General features: G+C 37.9%; 1 long non-coding RNA gene across 1 annotated transcript; it reads left to right on the top strand.

The window, feature by feature from the left end:
* Positions 1-1,488: 1,488 nt before the first annotated feature.
* Positions 1,489-21,284, top strand: LOC124904104 (uncharacterized). Its single transcript, XR_007065979.1, has 2 exons — positions 1,489-1,571; positions 21,111-21,284. It is a non-coding gene; the product is annotated as an uncharacterized LOC124904104 (long non-coding RNA).
* The last annotated feature ends 940 nt before the right edge of the window (positions 21,285-22,224 follow it).

Below are 22,224 nucleotides of genomic sequence, written 5' to 3' on the forward strand. Positions count from 1 at the left end.
AAAGACACATCTGATAAAGGACTGCTATTCGAAGTATACAAAGAATTCTTACCAACTCAACAATAATAATAAAAAAAAAAAACTCAATTAAAAACTGGGCCAAAGGTCTTAACAGACACTTCACCAAGGAGATATACAGATGGCAAAAAAAAGCATATAAAAAGATGTTCTACATCACATGTCATCAGGAAAATGCAAATTAAAACAACAAAAAGACACCATTACACATCCATTAGAATGCCTCAAACCTACAGTACTGACAATACAAAATGCAGGCAAAGATATGGAGCAAGAGGAACTCTTATTCATTGTGATGGCAATGCAAAATGGCGCAGCCACTTTGGAATAGAGTTTGGCAGTTTCTTAAAAAATTAAACATACTTACCCAATAAACCAGCAATTATACCTCTTGGTATTTACCCAATAACCTTGGTATATACATTATTGTAAATGCATGTCCACAAGAAAATTTGCACATGAATATTTATAACAACTTCATTTATAATTAATTGCCAAAAACTTGGAAGCAACCAAGATGTCCTTAATGGATAAACAAACTGTGGTACACTCAGGCAATGGTATATTATTATAATTCAGTGCTATAAAGAAATGAGTTATCAATCCATGAATAAACATGGAGGAACCTTAAATGCATATTACTATGTGAAAGAAGCCTACACTCACTCAGGATAATTCAGACTATATGACATTCTGGAGAAGGCAAAGCTATGAAGAGAGTAAAAAGATCAGTGTTTGCCAGGGCTTAGGATGGAGGAGGTGATAAGTAGGCAAAGCACAAAGGATTTTTAGGGCAGGGAAAATACTTTGCATGGTACCATAATGATGGATACTTGTCATTATACATTTATTCAAATTCATAGAATGTACAACACCCAAAATTCTCCCTAATGTAAACCATGAACTTTGGGTAATTATGATGTATCATTGTAGGTTCACCAATTGTAACCAGTGTTCCACTTTGGTGATGGATATTAATAATGGGGGAGGCTATGCATATATGAGGGCAGGGGAATCTCTGTATCGTCCCCTCAATTTTGTTCTCAACCTAAAACTGCTCTAAAAATGCAGTCTTTTAAAAAAGTATTCATAATTTCATACACTTTCAGAGGCGCTTTGAAGGAGAAAGGTAGAGTGACAGATTGTTATACTCATGACCTCTAAGAAATCCCATCTTCATGTACCCAGAACCTTTGTAATGTGACATAGTATCTGGGTTGTATTTTATCATCCCCTTCACTGGCTTTGTGACTTGCTTTACCCCTTATAATGTGGCAGAAGTCTTGTGTGAATCTCAACAGATTTTGCAGGTTTGTCCCTTATTGTTTTAAAACCCTGAAACCACCATAAGGTGAAATTTAAGCCAAGCCTAATAGAGAATGGAAGGTTAACTATAGGAAAACCAAGGAGCTCCTGCTCATAGCCAAATGAAATAGCAAAAACTTTGATTGATACCATGTCAGAACCTCCAGCTTGAGTGTAGTCATCAAAAGACTGCAGCCACATGAGTGATCTCAGGAAGAACCAGCAGAAGAACTTCCCACACTGCTAAGGTACAGAATCATGAGAAATAAAAAATCAGTATTGTTTTAAGCCACTCAGTTTTGAGGTGATCTCTTATGCAGCAAAAGGTAACTGAAACAGAAATTAATACCTGGAAGTGGGTTGTTGCCTTTAAAAAACCTAAACCATTTGGCATTATCTTTTAGCTCAGGTGGCAAGTGGAGAGTGGAAGAGAAGCAGGGAGACTTCTACTGGAGGCAAGAAAAGCAGTGAGGAAATTATTATCTTAGGCTGCAGGAAAGGCAACCTGTGTCCTACACCAGCAGAATAATTCACATAGTTTTATCCTACATTAAAGCAGAAGATAGAAAATACACCTAATGAACTTGTAAATCTTACCAAGGAGAATATCAGGCTAAATGAAGTGTCAGTTGGCTCCTTTAATATTAAAAAAAAAAAAAAAAAGCTCTAAAAAAGAAGTTCGGTTTATATGTGTAATTTAGAAGAAATAGAGAAATCCCAGGGTATTCTCTCCAGCCAGTAAAATACTGTCAATTAAGAAATGCCTAAGAAAAGATTGGCTCAAGGGTATGTCCATAATACCAATTGTGAAAATCTCAGACAGGTTTAAGGTGGGGCTCACTAGAACCTCTCAGGTAGAAAAAGGGGCTTCTATTTCAAGGCTATTTCCCAACAGCTCCCAAATGTAAAATGGCATGCTTTAGGATGAATTTGGCATGGCTTTATGTAATGGAGTGGTACATAATTTCATACATAGGAAACCCACCAAGTTTAAGCGTGCTGTATTGTTTTAGACTTAAGTGTAGTTCAAAATGAGAAGAGGCGTCTGGGCTGTCAACTTTCTATGGAAAGGAAGCAGGCTGAGAGGACAGAGCCAAGAATAAAGAAGAAGAATAGATTAGAGAATCGATTCCAGGGAGAATAATTCAGCCTTAATCAAAAACTATTCCCTGACTTCGGAAAAGGAGAATTGTTATCAACCATATCAACTTGACAGTGTTTACTATGCACCTCCTGGTTCTGTTTTCAGAGTGGGATTGTCTATTGCAGTTACTTGTCTCCATCTCACTGTTGTAGGTTGAGTGTGTGGGGCGTGTAATCCACATCTGGACCTGATTTAGGTGATGAGATCCCAGACTCAGAGCCTGAATCTGGTGTGGATTAGATGATATTTGAAGGGGTCTTGAGAAGCAGGAGTGAGTGCATTTTACATGTGAGAGAGTACGACTCCTTGAGGCCAGAGATGGCACTGCTGTAGATAATCATCAAAATGATCCTCAGTAAACCACAGCTCACTGTTTTTATACCCCTTCATTAATTTCCTATGATGAGGTGGAGTCTATTTTACTGACTCCTTGAATCTAAACTGGTCTTGTGACTTGTTTTAATAAATAAATGTGGTAGAAGTAAAGTTATAAGAGTTCTAGAGTCCAGGATTTAGCTGATGGAACCCTGAGATCACAAGACTGTGAAGAATCCCAGTCCAGTCTATTGGAAGATGAGAGGTCACATAGAGAACAACCAGAGACCCACAATGGTAGCAAGTACAATCGGACAGCTGATTGAGACCATCTTGGACACTGGAGTGCCAGCATAGCTGTCACATGACCGCAGCATCATGAGCAACCTCAAAGGATGCCAACAAAAGATCGTCTAGATTGTCAACAAATGGAATAATCAAAAATTATAAAGTGCTGTTGCTATAATCCACTAAATTTTGGGAAGATTTACTATGCAGCAAAAGATTTATGAAATGGGTGGGTTACATGCTGTATTGGCTGCTGGGAAACTAGGTAAACTCAGCATATAGCAGATGCATAAAAAATCAGCAAGTTCACACATTTTAGTTTCAAACAATGCCCATGATATCCTTGTACCCCTTAGGTGTTTAACTAGAAACACATTTAATTTTTCAAGTCATAGTTCTTTAAATTTTGGGGGTTGAATATTAACCTGCAGCTCCTCCTCCTCTATACCTCTCTCTCTTCCTTTTTTTGAAAATGTACATAACCACGTACAATATTCTCTGCTGAGGGAGAGAAGGAAGCAAGGCAAGATCTTAAGTCAAATTCATATGATGTGTCATTGACTATTTGAAGACTTGGGAAAAATAAAATATATTTATGAAGGGATACTATTGATACAATTCTAAGCAGATATCTAATATTTAAAGAAATATGTTTCAGGGACTTCACAGATACTATATTAACTGATCAGATGTAAATATTATACTTCTGACTTTAATCAAGGTCCAGAATAAAATAAAATTTATACTCTCATCATTTCTCTTTCTGTAGAACACACAGCCTGAGAAATTATGTTTTATTAAAATGTGACATTTGGTTGAATATTCTTTAATATTCCTAATTTTAAAAATTCTATGTTCTTAATAATGAGTCAAACAAAATAAGGTACTATCAAGATGCTTTTCTAATAGCCTTTGTTTTCACTGTAATCTGTTTTATTAACTTCCCATTTCCATAAGCATTTGCTATGAAAAATATTAGCAAGTAAAAGCAATACCATAAAGAAATACAATTTATTTGCTGAGAAAGATTAAAAGGCATGGTAAAGATGTACAGTATTCCTTGGGGGAACTGTTTTATTTAATAAGGACTCATTCTAATTAGCAAAAATCAATACTAGAAAATAAAAGATGTAATTCATAGACTGAAATTCAAACTTTATGTTTGTTTGTTTATTTTTTTTTATTTTTTTGAGACGGAGTCTCACTCTGTTACCCAGGCTGGAGTGTAGTGGCGTGATCTTGGCTCACTGCAAGCTCCGCCTCCTGGGTTCAAGTGATTCTCCTGCCTCAGCCTCCCAAGTAGCTGGGACTACAGGTGCACGCCACCACACCCAGCTAATTTTTTGTATTTTTAGTAGAGATGGTATTTCACCATGTTGGCCAGGATGGTCTCTATCTCCTGACCTCATGATCTGCCCGCCTTGGCCTCCCAAAATCCTGGGATTACAGACGGGAGCCACCGCACCTGGCCTTTTTTTGGGGGGTAGGGGGGTTGTCTTATGTGATAGGCACTGTGCTAGGTGCTTTCTTTTCTTTTCTTTTTTATTTCAATCGTTTTTGCGATACAGGTGGTGTTTGGTTATGTGGATAAGTTCTTCAGTGGAGACTTCTGAGATTTTGGTGCACCCATCACCTGAGCAGTGTGCACTGTACCCAATGTGTAGTCTTTTATCCCTCACCCCCTCCCACCCTTCCCCTGAGCCCCAAGGTCCACTGTATCATTCTTAATGCCTTTGCATCTTCATAGGTTAGTTCCCACTTACTTACATAAAAAAAAGTTCAACATCACTAATTATCAGGAAAACGCCAAGAATGACTATAATCAAAAAATTAAAAAAAAAAATAGATGTTGGCATGGATGTGGTAAAAAGGGAAGACTTTTTTACTGCTGGTGGAAATGTAAACTAGTACAACCACTATAGAAAACAATATGAAGATTTCTTAAGGAATTAAAAGTAGATTTACCATTTGATCAAGCAATTCCACTACTGGGTATCTAGCCAGAGGAAAGTAAGTCATTATATGAAAAAGACACTTGCATACATATATTTATAGCAGCACAATTCACAATTGCAAAAACCTGGAACCAGCCCAAATTCTCATCAATCAACAAGTGAATTTTAAAAATGTGATATATACGTACACACCATGGAATACTACTCAGTCATAAAAAGAAACTAAAAATAGGCTGGATGCAATGGCTCACACCTGTAATCCCAGCACTTTGGGAAGCTGAGGCGGGCGGATCACTTGAGGTCAGGAGTTCAACACCAGCCTGATCGACATGGTGAAAACCCATCTCTACTTAAAAATACAAAAATTAGCCAGGTGTGGTTGTGGGCGCCTGTAATCCCAGCTACTTGGGAGGCTGAGGCAAGAGAATCACTTGAAACCGGGAGGCGGAGGTTGCAATGAGCCAAGATCTGTCTCAAAGAAAAAAAAAATCCCACTCCCCCAGACATCCTCCATTTAGTATGAGGATGGAGATTATTCCAGTATCTTGTGTATAGAAAGATGTAGAGGAATCCAGTTCTGCCAGGCCATTTCCAATGAATAACAGGCAAAACTTCACATCATGTGGTCAAGAGATTGTTCCTCAAATATAGTGAGCACCAACATTTTAAGCATGGGTTGGACAACCATTTGATAAGACGTGGGAAGGAGGAGGTGGATGATTATCCTAGGTTTTTTTCATGTTCCTTCAATCTGAAGAGTCTATATTAAAATAAATTTAATTGATTGAAAGCATACATTATGGTATAAACTTCACTTTATGCACCAAAGATACTAATCAATTTTGTAATAGTGTTCGGCACAGGTAGGTAAAAGTATTTTTAGGGACAACTGGATGAAGCCTGCAGTGATTCTGCCATGAAATATATGCAAAATATGCCCCATAGAACAAAACTTTTTTATGGTTATCCTGAAAAATGTATAAGTGAGCCCTAGTAGACTATTATTAAAAAGCAATTGGAGAACATACTGTGTTTGGTTTTTCATTCCTGAGTTACTTCACTTAGAATAATGGTCTCCAACTCCATTCAGGTTGCTGCGAATGCCATTATTTCATTTCTTTCTTTCTTTTTTTTTTTTTTTTTTTTTTGAGACAGAGTTTCACTCTTGTCACCCAAGCTGGAGTGCAATGGTACGATCTCGGCTCGGCTCACTGCAACCTCTGCCTCCTGGGTTCAAGAGATTCTCCTGCCTCAGCCTCTGAGTAGCTGGGATTACAGGTGCCCACCACCACGCCTGGCTAATTTTTGTATTTTTAGGTAGATACAGGGTTTCACCATGTTGGTGAATTATTGCTAAGAAAGAACCACAAACAAGTCTATCATAAAATAAAGAAGAAGAAAGCAGGGTTGTGACAAACTTCATGAAGGACGAGGCAATTCAGTTGAACGCAAAGAATAGTCAGGATTGTAACAGACAAAATGGGGCTGATGAATACTCCATCTGTGGAGCACATTTTGAGCAAAGGTGCTGAGGTGGAAGAACACAGAGTAGGTTCTGGGAAGAAGAAATGACAGTCCCACGTGACATGTGTGTGCTGTGTATGTGGCTAGACAGGCTGGAAGGAGCAGGAAGTTGGACTGGAGGCAGAGTGCCAGGTCTTGAGGTCTCACTAAGTAGATTGGACTTCTCAGCATGAGAAAAACACAAGACTGTGGCCTGAGGAAGTGAGTCAGCCTTATTTCGTCAATGGAGCATCAAGTAGTGAGGTCCAAAAACAGTTAAGGATCCAGTATGTGCAATTGTCAAGTTATCTTAACGATTTTGGACTCAAGATAATTTATAATGTATTATATGTACTTGCCCTTGTGCTATTTTAGAAAGCAAAATATTCTGAAATAATTATTGCTTGTTTCTCTTAAAAAAGGTTGAACTGTAATATAAATAATGCTACAGGTTCAGATAACTGTAGCACACTTTTACTCCTGTACATATCTATTCTATCCCCCAAATTAAGAAGATATTTACGTGAAGTTAAAAAAAAAAAAAAAACTAATGAAATACTTTATGACCTTAATGGCCAACCACTGACTTATTTGATTTTTTTTTAAGTGAGCTGCCTTAATTTACTTGCTGCTTAGAGCTAATCACTATTATTTCTTATTAAAAATTGACCAAATATAATTTAACATACTCCAGTTTGTCTACCCCTCTTTCTTATCATCAAGTAGTATACTATTTGCAGATGCTACTAGTAATTGATTTGATATTTAAAAATAAGCAGACTAAACCAAAGCACTTGATCTCATTACCTACACTGGAAAATTAAACATGAAGGTTAGATTTATCAGTAAAGGAGACACTCTCATTAGGCTGTGATATTGTGATACAACCAAACATTAGTTTGACCTTAGAAATTGTCATGATTATAATAAAACATGGCACATATCCCCTGTGTGACCAGTGGCTTATTATCTAATAAATAATTTAATCTAACATGTATATATTCAGATACCACCATGAACAGGCCTTCCATTGTCCATTATGACATTGTGTGCTAGAATGCAATATTCCTTTAAAACCTCCAAAATAAAAGAAGCAAATACCAGCTTGAGGCCAGACAAGAAGCCTGTGAAACATCAGACAGTTTTCATCACAGCTGGCCAGGCCTGGGCAGTTTCAGACAAAGGACTTCCGCCTTTATCTGGCCCTTATTTTGATGTCTCATTCAGCTGAAGATAAAAGGAAAGATGTGCTTTGAAATGTAACCATTAGGGCGGCAAAGAAATCAACATGCAAATGTCACCCATACATGAATTTGAGATGAAGTCTACATTTGTCACTGCAAACTTAGAGCTTGTTGGTATTTTTTCCTCCCAAAGCAGTAAGATTTTAAAAAGCAAATAAAAACAACTGTAAATAGATGAGTGCTGAATTTAGTTCAACTGGAATTCTTTAACTACTTATGCATTTTGTTCACAATAAGCACAGAGAACTAACATATACATGTTAAGGTTACATGGAAAGACTGAAAAGAGATGAAATAAAAATAATGAGAAGTGGAGAATGATATTATGATACATTAGGTTTAGGCAAGTAACAGAAGGATCGAGAGACTCCACATTGGTGGTTTCAAATATTTTATCAATTTCTATCATGAAAATGAGCTAATTTCTTGGGAAAACTAACGTACATTTTCAAAGAAGGTTGCACAACTACCTGAGGTGATAGTGACCTGAGAGAGATGGACAAGTTATAATTTTAATTTTACAGATAACCTAAAATAAAAATTTACAAACTATGAAATATTAATTGGGTTCATTTACAAAATTCAAATAGTTGCAAATGCGTCTTTTGTATATGGATTCTCATTCTCCTGGTTCAGAAGAAATTTTCTAAATTTGTGACTTCAAATAGTTAGTTTGTGTGAATTTGTCAGAGTTTTAAGTTTGGTTCTGTATTTTTACCATTAAAAATTCCGAGGAAAATAACTTGTCACTCCCCCCAACTCTGAACATACAAATCCATAAGAGAATTACAGGGTTGATTAAGAGCCTGGAAAGGATCTGAAGATGTTCATTCTGGAATTTAAGATTTGACACTGGGCAAGACCAAAATAGTTGTGTTAAAATAATTGGAGGGCTCTTATAAAGAAGATGAACTTTATGTGATCTGTGCAGGTATCTAAGAGAGAAGGACGAATACTATGTTAACTAAAGAGAAGAAAATTTTTTAATAATTTAACTGAGTCAAAAATTGAATAGTACACTTTACAAGTATGGCATCTAGAAGGTCACCATCATGCATTTATTTGGGTTGTGAACTCTGGAACAGAATTGGGGAATATAAAGATAAGTAAGATATAATCTTTGCCTAAAGATTTAAAATTTTTAGGAAGGCAAAGAGAATTAAAGGTAAAGTATATGAAATCTACATTTAAAAAATGAATTTAGACACAGATCTTGTTCCTTTTATACAAATTAACTCAAAACATATCATGGGCCTAAATGTAAAATGCCACACTATAAAACTCCTGGAAGATAACTTAGGTGAAAAACTAGATGACCTTGGCTATGGCAATGACATTTTAGATATGACACCAAAGGCAGAATCCATGAGAGAAATAATTGATAAGGGGGACTCCATTAAAATTAAAAACTCCTCCTTTGCAAAAGACAATGTCAAGAGAATGAGAAGACAATCCGCAAACTGGGAGAAAATATTTGAAAAGACATATCTGACAAAGGACTGCTATCCAAAATATACAAACAACTCTAAAAACCCAACAGTAAGAAACGAACCGATGAAAAAATGGGTCAAAAATTTTAACAGATATTTCACCAAAGAAGCTACACAGATGACAAAAAGCATATGAAAAGGTGCTCTACGTCATATGTCATCAGAAAAATGAAAATTAAAACAACAATTTGATACCACTACGTAACTATTAATGGTTAACACTGACAACACTAAATACTTATGAGGATGTGGAGCAACAGGGGCTCTCATTCATTGCTGGTGGGAATGAAAATTGTGTAGCCATTTTGGCAAACAGTTTGACAGTTTCCTTCCTCCTTCCCTCCCTCCCTTCCTTCCTTCCCTCCCAGGGTCTCACTCTATTGCCCAGGCTGGAGTGCAGTGGCATAATTATGGCTCACGGCAGCCTTGACTTTCAGGGCTCAAGCTATCCTCCTATCTCAGCCTCCCAAGCAGTTGTAACTACAGGCACATGTCACCACAGCAGGCTATTTTATTTTTATTTTTAGTATAGATGGCATTTCACTATGTTGCCCATGCTGGTCTTAAACTCCTGGGTTCAAGTGATCCTCTTGCCTCGGCTTTCCAAAGTGCTGTGATTATGGGCATGAGCCACTGTGCCCTGCCAGTTTGGCACTTCCTTACAAAACTGAACATACTCTTACTATATGATCCGGCAAGTGTACTTCTTGGTATTTACTCAAAGGAGTTGAAAACGTATGGTCACACAAAAACTTGTGCATGTATGTTTATAGCAGCCTTATTCATAATTTCCAAAACATGTAAGCAACCAAAATATCCTTCAGTAAATAAGTAGATAAATAAGCTGTGGACAATTAAATGTTATTCAGCACTAAAAAGACATGAGTTATCAAACCATAAGGACATAGAGGAACCTTAAATATGTATTATTACATGAAGGAAGCAAGTCTAAGAAGGCTACATATTGTATAATTCAGACTATGTGGCATTCTGGAAAAGAAGAAACTATGGAGACAGTGAAAAGATCAGTGGTTGCCAGAGGTTGGGTGGTGGTGATGAACAGGTGAAGCAGGAGGATTTAGGGGGCAGTGAAAATACTTGCACAATAGGATAATGGTAGATATATGTTATCATACATTTTTCCAAATCCATAGAATATACAACACCAATAGTGAATCCTACTTTAAACAGTGAACTTTGAGTGACTATGGTGTGCCAATTTAGGCTCATCACTTGTAACCCGTGTACCACTCTGGTGAAGAATGTTGATAATGGGGATAATACAAGCTGCACATGTAGAGGACAGTGGTATATGAGAAATCTCTGTACCTTCCTCCTCTCAATTTCGCTGTTAACCTAAAACTGCTCTAAAAAATAAAATCATCTAAAAAACATGGTACATTATGATTGGAAATTTAGAAGAGATCAAAGGTGACACGTTTGGGTGTTTCCTCTTGAGCTGAGTATTTGTTGGAGAGTAAGATGTCCTGGAATACTTACAGAATAGATAATACTTAAATTGAAATTTGAAGAAAAAGTAGGACATAGCCAGAGTTGACAGAATGTCTTAAGAGTATTTGAGAAGCAATTTAGTTGTTAGTTCAGGTATTAAGCTAAATAATGTTTAAATCCAATCCATCTGTGAACTAAATGATTTTCAATGTCAATTCAAATTCATGATTTAAAAATTTTGAGTTTACACTACATAGAAAAATTAATTCAAAATAAATTCATGACTTAAATGTAAGACTAAAAAGCATAAAACTTGTAGAAGAAAACATAAAAGGGAAAAGCTTCATACATTGGATTTAGTAATGATATATTGGATATGACAGCAAAAGCATGTGCAACAGAAGGAAACAGATCAACTGGACTACATAAAAACTGTAAAATTCCGTGCATTAAAGGACACAATCAACAGAATTGAAAGGCAACACATAGAATGGGAAAACTATTGGCAGGGCGCAGTGGTTCACGCCTGTAATCCCAGCACTTTGGGAGGCCGAGGAGGGCGGATCACGAGGTCAGGAGATTGAGACCATCCTGGCTAACACAGTGAAACCCCATCTCTATTAAAAACACAAAAATTAGCCAGGTGTGGTGGCAGGCGTCTGTAGTCCCAGTTACTCAGGAGGCTGAGGCAGGAGAATGGCATGAACCTGGGAGGCAGAGCTTGCAGTGAGCCGAGATCGCGCCACTGCACTCCAGCCTGGGCGACAGAGCGAGGACTCCATCTCAAAAAAAAAGAAAAAAAAAAAGAATGGGAAAACTATTTACAAATGATATACCTGATAAGGGATTAATATCCAGAATATATAAAGAACCCCTATGAATCCACATCAGCAAATAACTGAATTAATAAACGGACAAAGGATTTGCATAAACATTTCTCCAAAGAAGACATACAGATGGCCAATGTGCCCATGAAAAGATGCTCAACATCACTAATCACTAAGGAAATGCAAATCAAAACCACAATGGGATATCATCTCACACTCATTAGGATGTCTACTATAAAGTAAAACACAAAATAACAAGTGTTGGAGAGGATGCAGAAATATCAGAAATCTTGTGACTGTTGGTGGGAACGTAAAATGGTGCAGCTACTATAAAAAACAGAATGGTGGTTCCTCAAATATTAATAATGAAATTACCAATATAATCCAGCAATTCCACTTCTGGGTGTATGCCCAAAAGAATTGAAAGCAAGTACTCAAACAGAGAAAAGATAGAAGCAACTCAGTATCCAACAACAGATGGATGGATAAACAAAATGTGGTATATACATACAATGGAGTATTATTCACCCTTCAAGAAGAAGTTAATTCTGACACAAACTATAACATGGATGAACCTTTAGGGGTCTATGCTAACTGAAATAAGCCAGCTGCAAAAGGACAGACTCCACTTAAATTAGGTACTTAAAATAGTCACATTCATAGGGACAGAAAGTAGAATGGTGGTTGCCAGCAGAAGAGGAATTGTCCTAGAGCAGGCACAGAGTTTCAGTTTTGCAGGATGAAAGGGCTCTGTGGATGAAGAGTGGTCATGGTAGCCCAACAATGTGAATGTACTTAAGGCCAATGTGCACTTAAAAATGGTTAACATGGGGCAGGCGCCATCGCTCACGCCTGTAATCCCAACACTTTGGGAGGCTGAGGCAGGCAGATCACAAGGTTAAGAGATCGAGACCATCCTGGCCAACATGGTGAAACCCAAACTCTACTAAAAATACAAAAATTAGCCAGGTGTGGTGGTGCACACCTGTAGTCCCAGCTACTCGGGAGGCTGAGGCAGGAGAACCTTTTGAACCCAAGAGGCAGAGGTTGCAACAAGCCGAGATTGTGTGACTGCACTCCAGCCTGGGGACAGAGCGGGACTCCATCTCAAAAAAAAAAAAAGGTTAACATGGTAAATTTTATGTTACATGTACTATACACCTTAATTTTAAAAGTTTTGAGAAATTGTCTTTAAAATAGAATAAATTAGGACATTTTTATTTGAAATATTTTTAGAAGTTATGTTGTTGATTTGTTTTACTATTTCAATAGAATAGGTTAGAAAAAAAGTATTGATAAGTCAGGTGTAAGCCTTCCATCGGGTAATCTGCAGCTACAATGAACAATGAGAGGTTTTATATCCTTTATATATTATTTTCCACTTAGTTAACTTCCCTAACTACATTGTGGACATGCAATTTATAGTAGCTATTACATTCCTATGTCCTTAAAATTATTTCAAAGTAGATTGGGAGGAAAAGGGGTCATCTTTATGTACATATTCCACCTGAGGCATCAGATTCCAACAAGATAATCTAGAGCAAGCTTGTCCAACCCATAGCCCTCAGGCTGCATGGGGTCCAGGATAGCTTTGAATGCAGCCCAACACAAATTTGTAAACTTTCTTAAAACATTATGAGATTTTTTGCTATATACATATATATCGCAATACATATATATCATGATATATATATATCACAATATATAAATATATATTTATGTTAATTATATAGATTGTGTGTGTGTGTGTGTGTGTGTGTGTATGTATATATATATATATATATATATATATATATATATATATATATATATATATATCACATCAGCTATTGTTAGTGATAGTATATTTTATGTGTGGCCCAAGACAATTCTTCTTCCCATGTGGCCCAGGGAAGCCAAAAGATTGGACACCCCTGAAGGATGTGAAACAGATTCCTACACGTTTTGAGCAGAAGCCAGCAATGGATTGCTCTCTCGGAATAAGCATCTATAGCTAGCTCATGAATCTGTCTCAAGTATATGCTGTATTTTCCAGGGACCATCATCACTTCATTTCATGCTGTGAAATGAATGAGGTTGGGGTGGCCAATCAGTTACATTGAAGTAATGGCCATATTTGAAACAAATCTCAACAGATCAAAAACATATTTTCACAAATTAGATCATTTATATGCCTTGAAAGTTTATTACAAACATGCCTATGGGTGCTATAATAGCAGGTTCATCATCTAAAACATTGTATTTCTTAAAAAATCCACTCTCATAACACATTTATATTTTAATGCTAAAAAAAATTCTAACCAGTAAAGATTTGAAATCACCCATTAAAACAATTGATATAAATGTTCTTTCTAAATTGTAACTTGGGAAAACATTATAGTGTTTACTGTTGCAACATACTGGCTTGGAAAGGATTTTCCTCCCCGCAAAGGTTTGCCAAATAAAATACAAATATAACATGCAATGTACCACAAAAAATGTTGTTCGTCTGAAATTCAAATTTAACTGGATGTCCTGTATTTTTATTTGCTAAATATAGCCCTCTCACACAATAGCCAGAAAATGAAGGCTTCACAATTTGGACATTTTACTTACTGCTCTCCAGAAAGACACAGAGGGAGAATTAGTTATCTCTAACACTTACTACATTTGATCCTAGTTTTCAGGGACATTTTCTTCAATATCATCTTGAAAACTGCTAAAGTTATTTAGGACCCTGAAATCTTGGATGGGGTCTGTGTTTTTCACCATCGCTCACAAGCACATACCCTAGCATTCCTGCACAGCAGATGCTCAATAAATAGATGTTGATTCAATAATTATATAAAACCAAAGCACTGGGATTATTAATGCTCATAAATTATATCAACTTCAGCTTTGTGCCTAGTTGATGATTCTGTTCTCTGAGTTACTAGTAGACTCAGCCACTTAATTGTTAATGTCACTATTATGCAAGTTCAACCTAAATCTACAAAGGCCTTGGGACAATAGGATAAAAACAAGATTCTACCTCTATCAAAATATGGATGAGTTGGCTAATTGAATTTCATTTTTGTGTAATGTAAAAGTGATATCATTTCCATAAGCCAGGTGACAATGGAGATGTCTGCCTAAAACATGGGGCCTTTTTCACTCACGAAAAAAGTGTACTAGAGGCTAGAGGCAGCTTTTTCATTATTCACTTTAATAAAGGCAATAAGAAATATAATATTGCAAATACTTATTTTCATTATTTGACTATTATGATTAATAACACAAATAATTTTTATTATAAAAGATTGATTTATTTGAGCACTAAGTGCCAATAACTCTGCTAAGTACTCTGCACACCTTACTTTATTTGTGCATACATTTTTTCTATGTGTTATAAGAGTGTTTTTTAAAATATAACTGTGTTAGTCCATTTTCATACTGCTATGAAGAAATATCCTAGACTGGGTGATTTATAAAGAAAAACAGGTTTAATGCACTCACAGTTCCACATGGCTGAGGAGGCCTCACAATCATGGTGGAAGGAGAAGGAGGAGCAAAGACATGTCTTGCATGGCACAGGCAAGAGAGCATGTGCCAGGGAACTGCCCTTTAGGAAGCCATCAGATCTCGTGAGACTTATCCACTATCATGAGAACAGCATGGGAAAAACTACCCCCATGATTCAATTACTTCCCACCAGGTCCCTCCCACAACACATGGAGATTATGGGAGCTACGATTCAAGGTGAGATTTGGGTGGGGACATAGCGAAACCATATCAATGACACAGCTCTAATCCATGTTGGTTTGAAAAAATGAATAAATACATGTGTTTCTTTCCAATGAGTAAAGTAGAAACTCTAAACTTCTTACTAGTCTGATAGACCACCCTAGGACTACATCATAGCTTTAGGTGAAAACAGTACTTAATAAGGTCAAAAATCCTTTTTGGGAAATGAATAATTTGTATAAGTTTGAATGCTTTGGGATTTGGTAGAAAAATCTAGTTATGTCTGACAAAGACAATAATAAAAAACTAATAGGTACGTTTCAGTTTTTCTGCAATGAAAGCCTTATTATAGTAATCTTAATATACATGAAACTTCAAGCCTAGGACAAGAAGAAAATTAGTTTAGAGAATAATAATATCTCTCTTGAAGTTAGTGATGTAAGGAATAAACATTTAGTTATCTTTTTAGAAGTGCAAGTGCAATTTTTATTGCCTATTTGCTAGTCACATATTCAACAATGTACAAGTGAAATACTGAATGTAATAGCTAAGGAGAACTTGTTAGTCAATGGCTAGCTGATTATAATTGGATGAAATTACACTGTTAATTTTCAAGTCATCTAAGTGTGAAATGGACAGAGGGAACAGTAGAAAAATGATATCAAGCATTGAGATATCCTGGGCAAATAATACCTGTATTTTGGTACATAATGTGAAGTCTAGGTTGCCAACTTAAATGGTGAAAAATATCTCATTGAATAAGCATGATGGCTTAGGACTTATACAACTTATTTCAATCTAAGAAATTACAATAAAAAATGAGTAAGTTAGTTTGTTTAGGATTATGTCTTCACAACAGCACAGCTTGACATTCTCAGCATTGAACATTATTATTCTGAAGTTCTACGTAGAACACTCTCTAAGTAAATGTTCAGAGTTTGCTTCTTTAACACAAATGCCTTCTCCAATCTGAAAATTATACAGCTTTAATTTACAGGCAAAACTGAATCTAAATAAAAAACTTGCAACCCAATTTTTAAAATCAGAAACATATATGATTCTGAAGATGGTGATGGGTGTTTCTTCAGTTGTTATGGCAGAGATGGCTCTGTAGTCCGTGGTGCAGAGTTGCTATGGAGAACAACTGTTCAACCAAGAACTACTTTTTTCATCTCCCTCTGCATCTTGATAGGGTCAAGTGACTAGTTCTACCAAAGATATGGAAGCAAAAGTGAAGTAGGTCAAAATATTTTGGCTAAAGTTTAAAAAGGGGGTGTGCATTCTTTATGTTCTCTTTCTCTACCTTGCAGCTGGGTGTTGACTGCTGATGCACAAAATAACTTTGTAAACCATGTTTTGAAAATAATAGACCCTCTCTCATGAATGACTGGGAACAAAGCTACTACTCAAATAGAACCCTATCCCTCTCCACTGCTGATATAGTTTAGATATGTATCCACACCCAAATCTCATGCTGAATTGTAATCCCCAATGTTGGTGGGAGGTGGTGGGTCATGGGGGTGCGTTATCATGAATGGTTTAGCACCATCCCCTTGGTGCTGTTCTCATGACAGTGAGTGAGTTCTCAGGAGATCTGGTTGTTTAAAAGTGTGTGGCACCTCCCCCCTCTCTCTTGCTCTTGCTCTTGCTCCTGCTCCTGCACCTGCAGTGTGAGATACTTATTCCCCCTTTGCCTTGCACCACGATTGGAAGCTTCCTGAGGCCTCCTCCGGAAGCCAAAGCCACTATGCTTCCTGTACAGCCTGCAGAATCATGAGCCAGTTAAAGCACTTCTATTCATAAATTACCCAGTCTCAGGTATTTCTTTATAGCAATACAAGAACAAACTAATGCAGAAAATCGTTATCAAGGAGTGGGGCATTGCTCTAAAGATACTTGAAAATGTGGAAACAACTTTGGAATTGGGTAACAGGTAGAGTTTGGAAGAGTGTGGAGGGCTCAGGGGAAGACTGGAAGATGGGGGAATGTTTAGAACTTCTTGGAGACTAGTTACATGGTTGTGATCAAAATCAAGTGACAGTGAAGTCTGGGCTGACAAGGTCTCAGATGAAAATGAGGAACTTATTGGGAACTGGAGTAAAGGTCACTTTTGTTATTCATTAGCAAAGAAATTGGCTGCATTATGTCCATGTCCTAGGGATCTATGAAGGTTTGAACTGAGAGTGATGACCTAGGGTATTTGGTAGAAGAAATTTCTAAGCTGCAGTATTCAAGATTTTGCCTGGCTGCTTCTAAAAACCTACAATCAGATGCAAGATCAAAGGAATGACTTGAAGTTGGAGCTTATATTTTAAAGGGAAGCAGAGCATAAAAGTTTAGAAAATTTGTAGCCTGGCCATGTGGGAGAGAAAGAAAAAGCTTTTTTGAGAGAGGAAATCAAGCAGTCTGCTGAGAAACTGTTTCCTAGAGAAATCTGCATAATCAAAAAAGGAGGCAAGTGATGATAGCCAAAACAATAGGGAAAGGGCCTTGAAGGCAATTCATAGAGCTTCCCAGTAGCCCCTCTCATCACAGGCCTGGAGGCCTAGGAGGAAAGAATAGCTTCCTGCACAAGGCCCAGGGCCCACTGCTCTGCACAGCCCCAGGACACTGTTCCTTGCATCCCAGCTGCTCCAGCTCCAGCTCCAGCCCTGGCTCAAAGGGGCCAAGGTACTGCTCAGGCCACTGCTTCAGAGGGTGCAAGCCATAAGCCTTGGTGGCTTGCACATGGTGTTAAGCCTGTGGGTGCACACAGTGCAAGAGTTGAGGATTCAGAGTCTCCACCTAGATTTCAAAGCATCTAGAAAAGCCTGAGTGTCCAAGCAGAAACCTGCTACAGGTGAGGAGACCTCATGGAAAGCCTTTACTAGGGTAGTAAAGAGGGGAAATTTGGGGTTGGCGACCCCACACAGAGTCCCCACTGGGGCACTGCCTAGTGGAGCTGTGATAGGAGGGCCACTATCCTCCAGACTAAGGAATGGTAGATCCACTGACAATTTGCACCCTGTGCCTGGAAAATCAACAGAGACTCAACTCCAGCCCATGAGAGCAGCTTTGGGAGCCAAACGCTGCAAAGCCACAGGGAAAGAGCTGCTCAAGGCCTTGGGAGACCACCCCTTACACTAGTGTGCCCTGGACATGGGACATGAAGTTAAAGAAGGCTATTTTGGAGCTTTAAGATTTAACTACTTCCCTGCTGGATTTTGAACTTGGCTGGGGCCTGTAGCTTCTTTCTTTTGGCCAATTTCTGCCTTTGGGAATGAAAATGATTACCCAATACCTAACTCCATTGCATCTTGGAAGAGACTAACTTGTTTTATATTTTACAGGCTCATAGGTAAAAGGGACTTGTCTTATTTCAGATGACACTTTGGACTCTGGACTATTGAGTTAATGCTAGAAGGAGTTAAAACTTTGGGGGACTATTGGGAAGGCATGATTGTATTTTGAAATGTGAGAAAGACATGAGATTTGGGAGGGGTGGGGGTGGAATAATAGAGTTTGGATATTTTTCGCCTCCCAAATCTCATGTTGAATGGTAGTTCCCATGTTGGAGGAGAGGCCTTGTGGGAGGTGGTTGGATCATAGGGCTGGATTCATATAAATAGTTTAGCACCATCCCTTGGGTGCTGTTCTCATGATAGTGAGTGGGTTCTCAGAAGATCTGGTTGTTTAAAAGTGTGTGGCACCTCCCCTCTGTCTCTTGCTCTTGCTTCTGCTCCTGCCATGTGAGACCCTTACTCCTCCTTTGCCTTCCACCATGATTTGAATTTTCCTGAGGCCTCCCCAGAAGCAGAAGCCATGATGCTTCCTGTAGAGCCTGAAGAGCCATGATTCAATTAAAACCCTTTTCTTTATAAATTGTCCAGTCTCAGTTATTTCTTTATAGCAATGCAAGAACGGACTAATACAGCTGCTGTTTAGACTTCACGTGAGCAAGCATTCAACTTCTGTGCTATGACAGTAAGCAACTAGCATTCATTTAATTCAGTCTTACTTACCCTTACATCTAATCAAAATTTTGTTAATTCTGTCTCTTTGATATGTACTAAATCTGCAATTATTTTCTTTATTAGTGCACTAGTAGCACTGTAGCCTAAGCCACCATCATTTAAACACAGATAGAGATGGGGATCTCTTGTGAATCTCCTTGCTTTCCATTTGTGTTGTCTTTGGCCCATTCTAAATAACGCATCCACAGTAACCTTTAAAACTGAGACTCAGGCCATTTCACTTTTCTGTTTGAAGATGTTCAAAGGCTTTATTGTACTATTTAAAAAAAAAAAGAAGGTCTTACCTTGGTCTAAAAAGTTTGAATGGCTTGTCTTTGCTTGCCTTTCTAATCTGTACCACCCCATTTCCTCACTCCTCCCCCGTCAAGCTCTGTCTCTGTTCTCACTGCTTTGTTGCTCAAACAGATCAAATATTTTCATTCCAAGTGAATGCTCACTTGTTTCTTCATCTCTTTGAACTCCAAATGCTAAATTCCAAGATCTTATAGGTAGCTCATTTTTACCCTCCTTAGAAAAGCTGTCTCTTATTCTATCTTTAGCTGGCCTTACTCATTTGGTCTCTATTGAATTATTTTATTTGTGTCATTTATAGTTTTGCACAATCTGTGATTGTCTTATTTGTTGCTGACTTGATGTTTGGTTTCCCCACATAAAATATAAATACTACAAAGGAAGAGGCAATGTCTACTATATTTGTTGATATATTCCCAGCAGCAGGCAGAGTCTGCACATAAACAAATGACCAATGCTGTATTAGTCAGGGTTCTCCAGAGAGACAGAACTCATAGACAATTCAGAGGTCTTCCCAACAGCCCCTCTCATCACAGGCCTGGAGGCCTAGGAGGGAAGAATGGTTTCTTGGCCCAGGCCCAGGGCCCACTGCTCTGCACAGCCCTAGGACACTGCTCCTTGCATCCCAGCTGCTCCAGCTCCAGCTCCAGCCCTGGCTCAAAGGACCCAAAGTACAGCTCAGGTCACTGCTTATATATTATCTTCCTAATATATGTTTATTAGGGATAATTGGCTCACCACACAATTATAAGGCAAAGTCCCATGATAGACCATCTGCAAGCTGGGGAAGAAAGCGGGTAGTGCCTCAGTCTGAGTCCAAAAGCCTCAAACCAGGGAAGCTGACAGTGCAGACTTCAGCCTGTGATTGAAGGGTTGAGAGCCCCCAGCAAGCCACTGGTGCAAGTCTCAGAGTCCAAAGGTCAAAGAACCTGGATTCTGGTGTCCAAGGGCAGGAGGAATGGAAGGAAGCACCCAGCATGGGAGAAAGAAGGAAGCTAGAAGACTCAGCAAGCAAGGCTATCCCACCTTCTTCTGCCTGCTTTGTTCTAGCTATGCTGGCAGCCAATTCGATGGTGGTCACCCACATTGAGGGTGGATCTTCCTCTCCCAGTCCACTAACTCACATACCAATGGCAACATCCTCACAGACACATTCAGAAAAAATACTTTACCAGCTATCTAGGCATTCTTCAATCCAATCAAGATAAAACCTAATAATAATCATCACAAATACCTATTTTTTAAATAATTGTTGAATGACTATTATTCTTGTTTGATTTTTCCTGTATCAATAAGAAATCAATTCAATTCTGATTACTGATAAGCAGATAAAAGTCATATTTTATTGTATCTCCTTGATTAAGATTTCAGAATCCTACATCTCAGGATTATTTCAAACTATAAAGATTACCTTGTCTAAACACATTGAGATCTCTCTTATAATTCCTTTTTTAAAGAGTACATGCTTAGTCTCATGAAGCATAGCACACCAATCCGTTGTGTAATAAACACTCAATAATTGTAGAATTAACACCAATGACACTTCATTTTATCATCATTTAGGCACAATGTTTGGACCAGCCCAGGATCCCTCACTCACAAGAACTTCTATCGGACTTAGCTTATCCCTCAGAAGACCCTGGACACCACCAAAGGTCATCAGCACAATCTTGATGGATGTCTAAGAATTGAAGATTGATTTTTGCCTAATGACAATAAAGTCATCACTAAGTTAAATATCTATAAATTAAATATCTATTAAATATGTATTAAATATATAGTAAATATTTAATTGAATATTAAATGCATGTATATTCTGAGCTTTATTGTGTTTTTCATGAAGACACTGTCAAAGACTAGAGCCCCATATGTTAAAAAAGTGAGTGAGTAATCTTATTATAAGCATCATAATATGGTCCCTTTTCTTCATCCTGCTATACATAACAATCTGTTATACAATCTCCATTATTCTACTAATGAAGCCTCTTCAAATCATAACTTTGAGAAACATTACCCTCACGTAACAATTTTTTTTTTTTCTTTGAGATACAGTCTGTCGCCCAGGCTGGAATGCAGTGATATGATCGCGGCTCACTTCAATCTCTGCCTCCCAGGTTCAAGCGATTCTCCTGTCTCAGCCTCCCCAGTCGCTGGGACTACAGGTGTGCGCCACCAAGCCTGGCTAATTATTGTATTTTCAAGAGACAGGGTTTCACCATATTGGTCAGACTGGTCTGAAACTGCTGACCTCAGGTGATCCGCCCACCTCGGCCTCCCAAAGTGCTGGGATTACAGGTGCGAGCCACCATGCCTGGCCCTAACTTAGCAATTTTTGAAGAAATCTCAGCAGCCTTAATTCAAAATCTATGTAAATTGTGTGTGTGTGTGTGTGTGAAAAAGCTACCAAATGATTCTTTTGGAGATGAGGAATTGACAGCGAGCTTAGGAAAAAGTCAGTTTTTGTTGTTGTTGTTGTTTTTAATCAGGAGTCTTCCTAAGTTGAGATGCTGACATTCATGGCCACTTATTGTCTGGTTGTAATTCAAATCCAATGTCCAGATTCTACCCATTAAAGAAGGTAATAACTGGAAATAACTTCATTAATATCATGTTCCAGTATCTGCGGGCTCTGGTTGTATGGGAGAAGGCTGTCTACCATTTTGCTATGAATTCTAAT

Source organism: Homo sapiens, chromosome 17 (assembly GCF_000001405.40).
Source record: "Homo sapiens chromosome 17, GRCh38.p14 Primary Assembly".
NCBI classification, from domain to species: domain Eukaryota; kingdom Metazoa; phylum Chordata; class Mammalia; order Primates; family Hominidae; genus Homo; species Homo sapiens.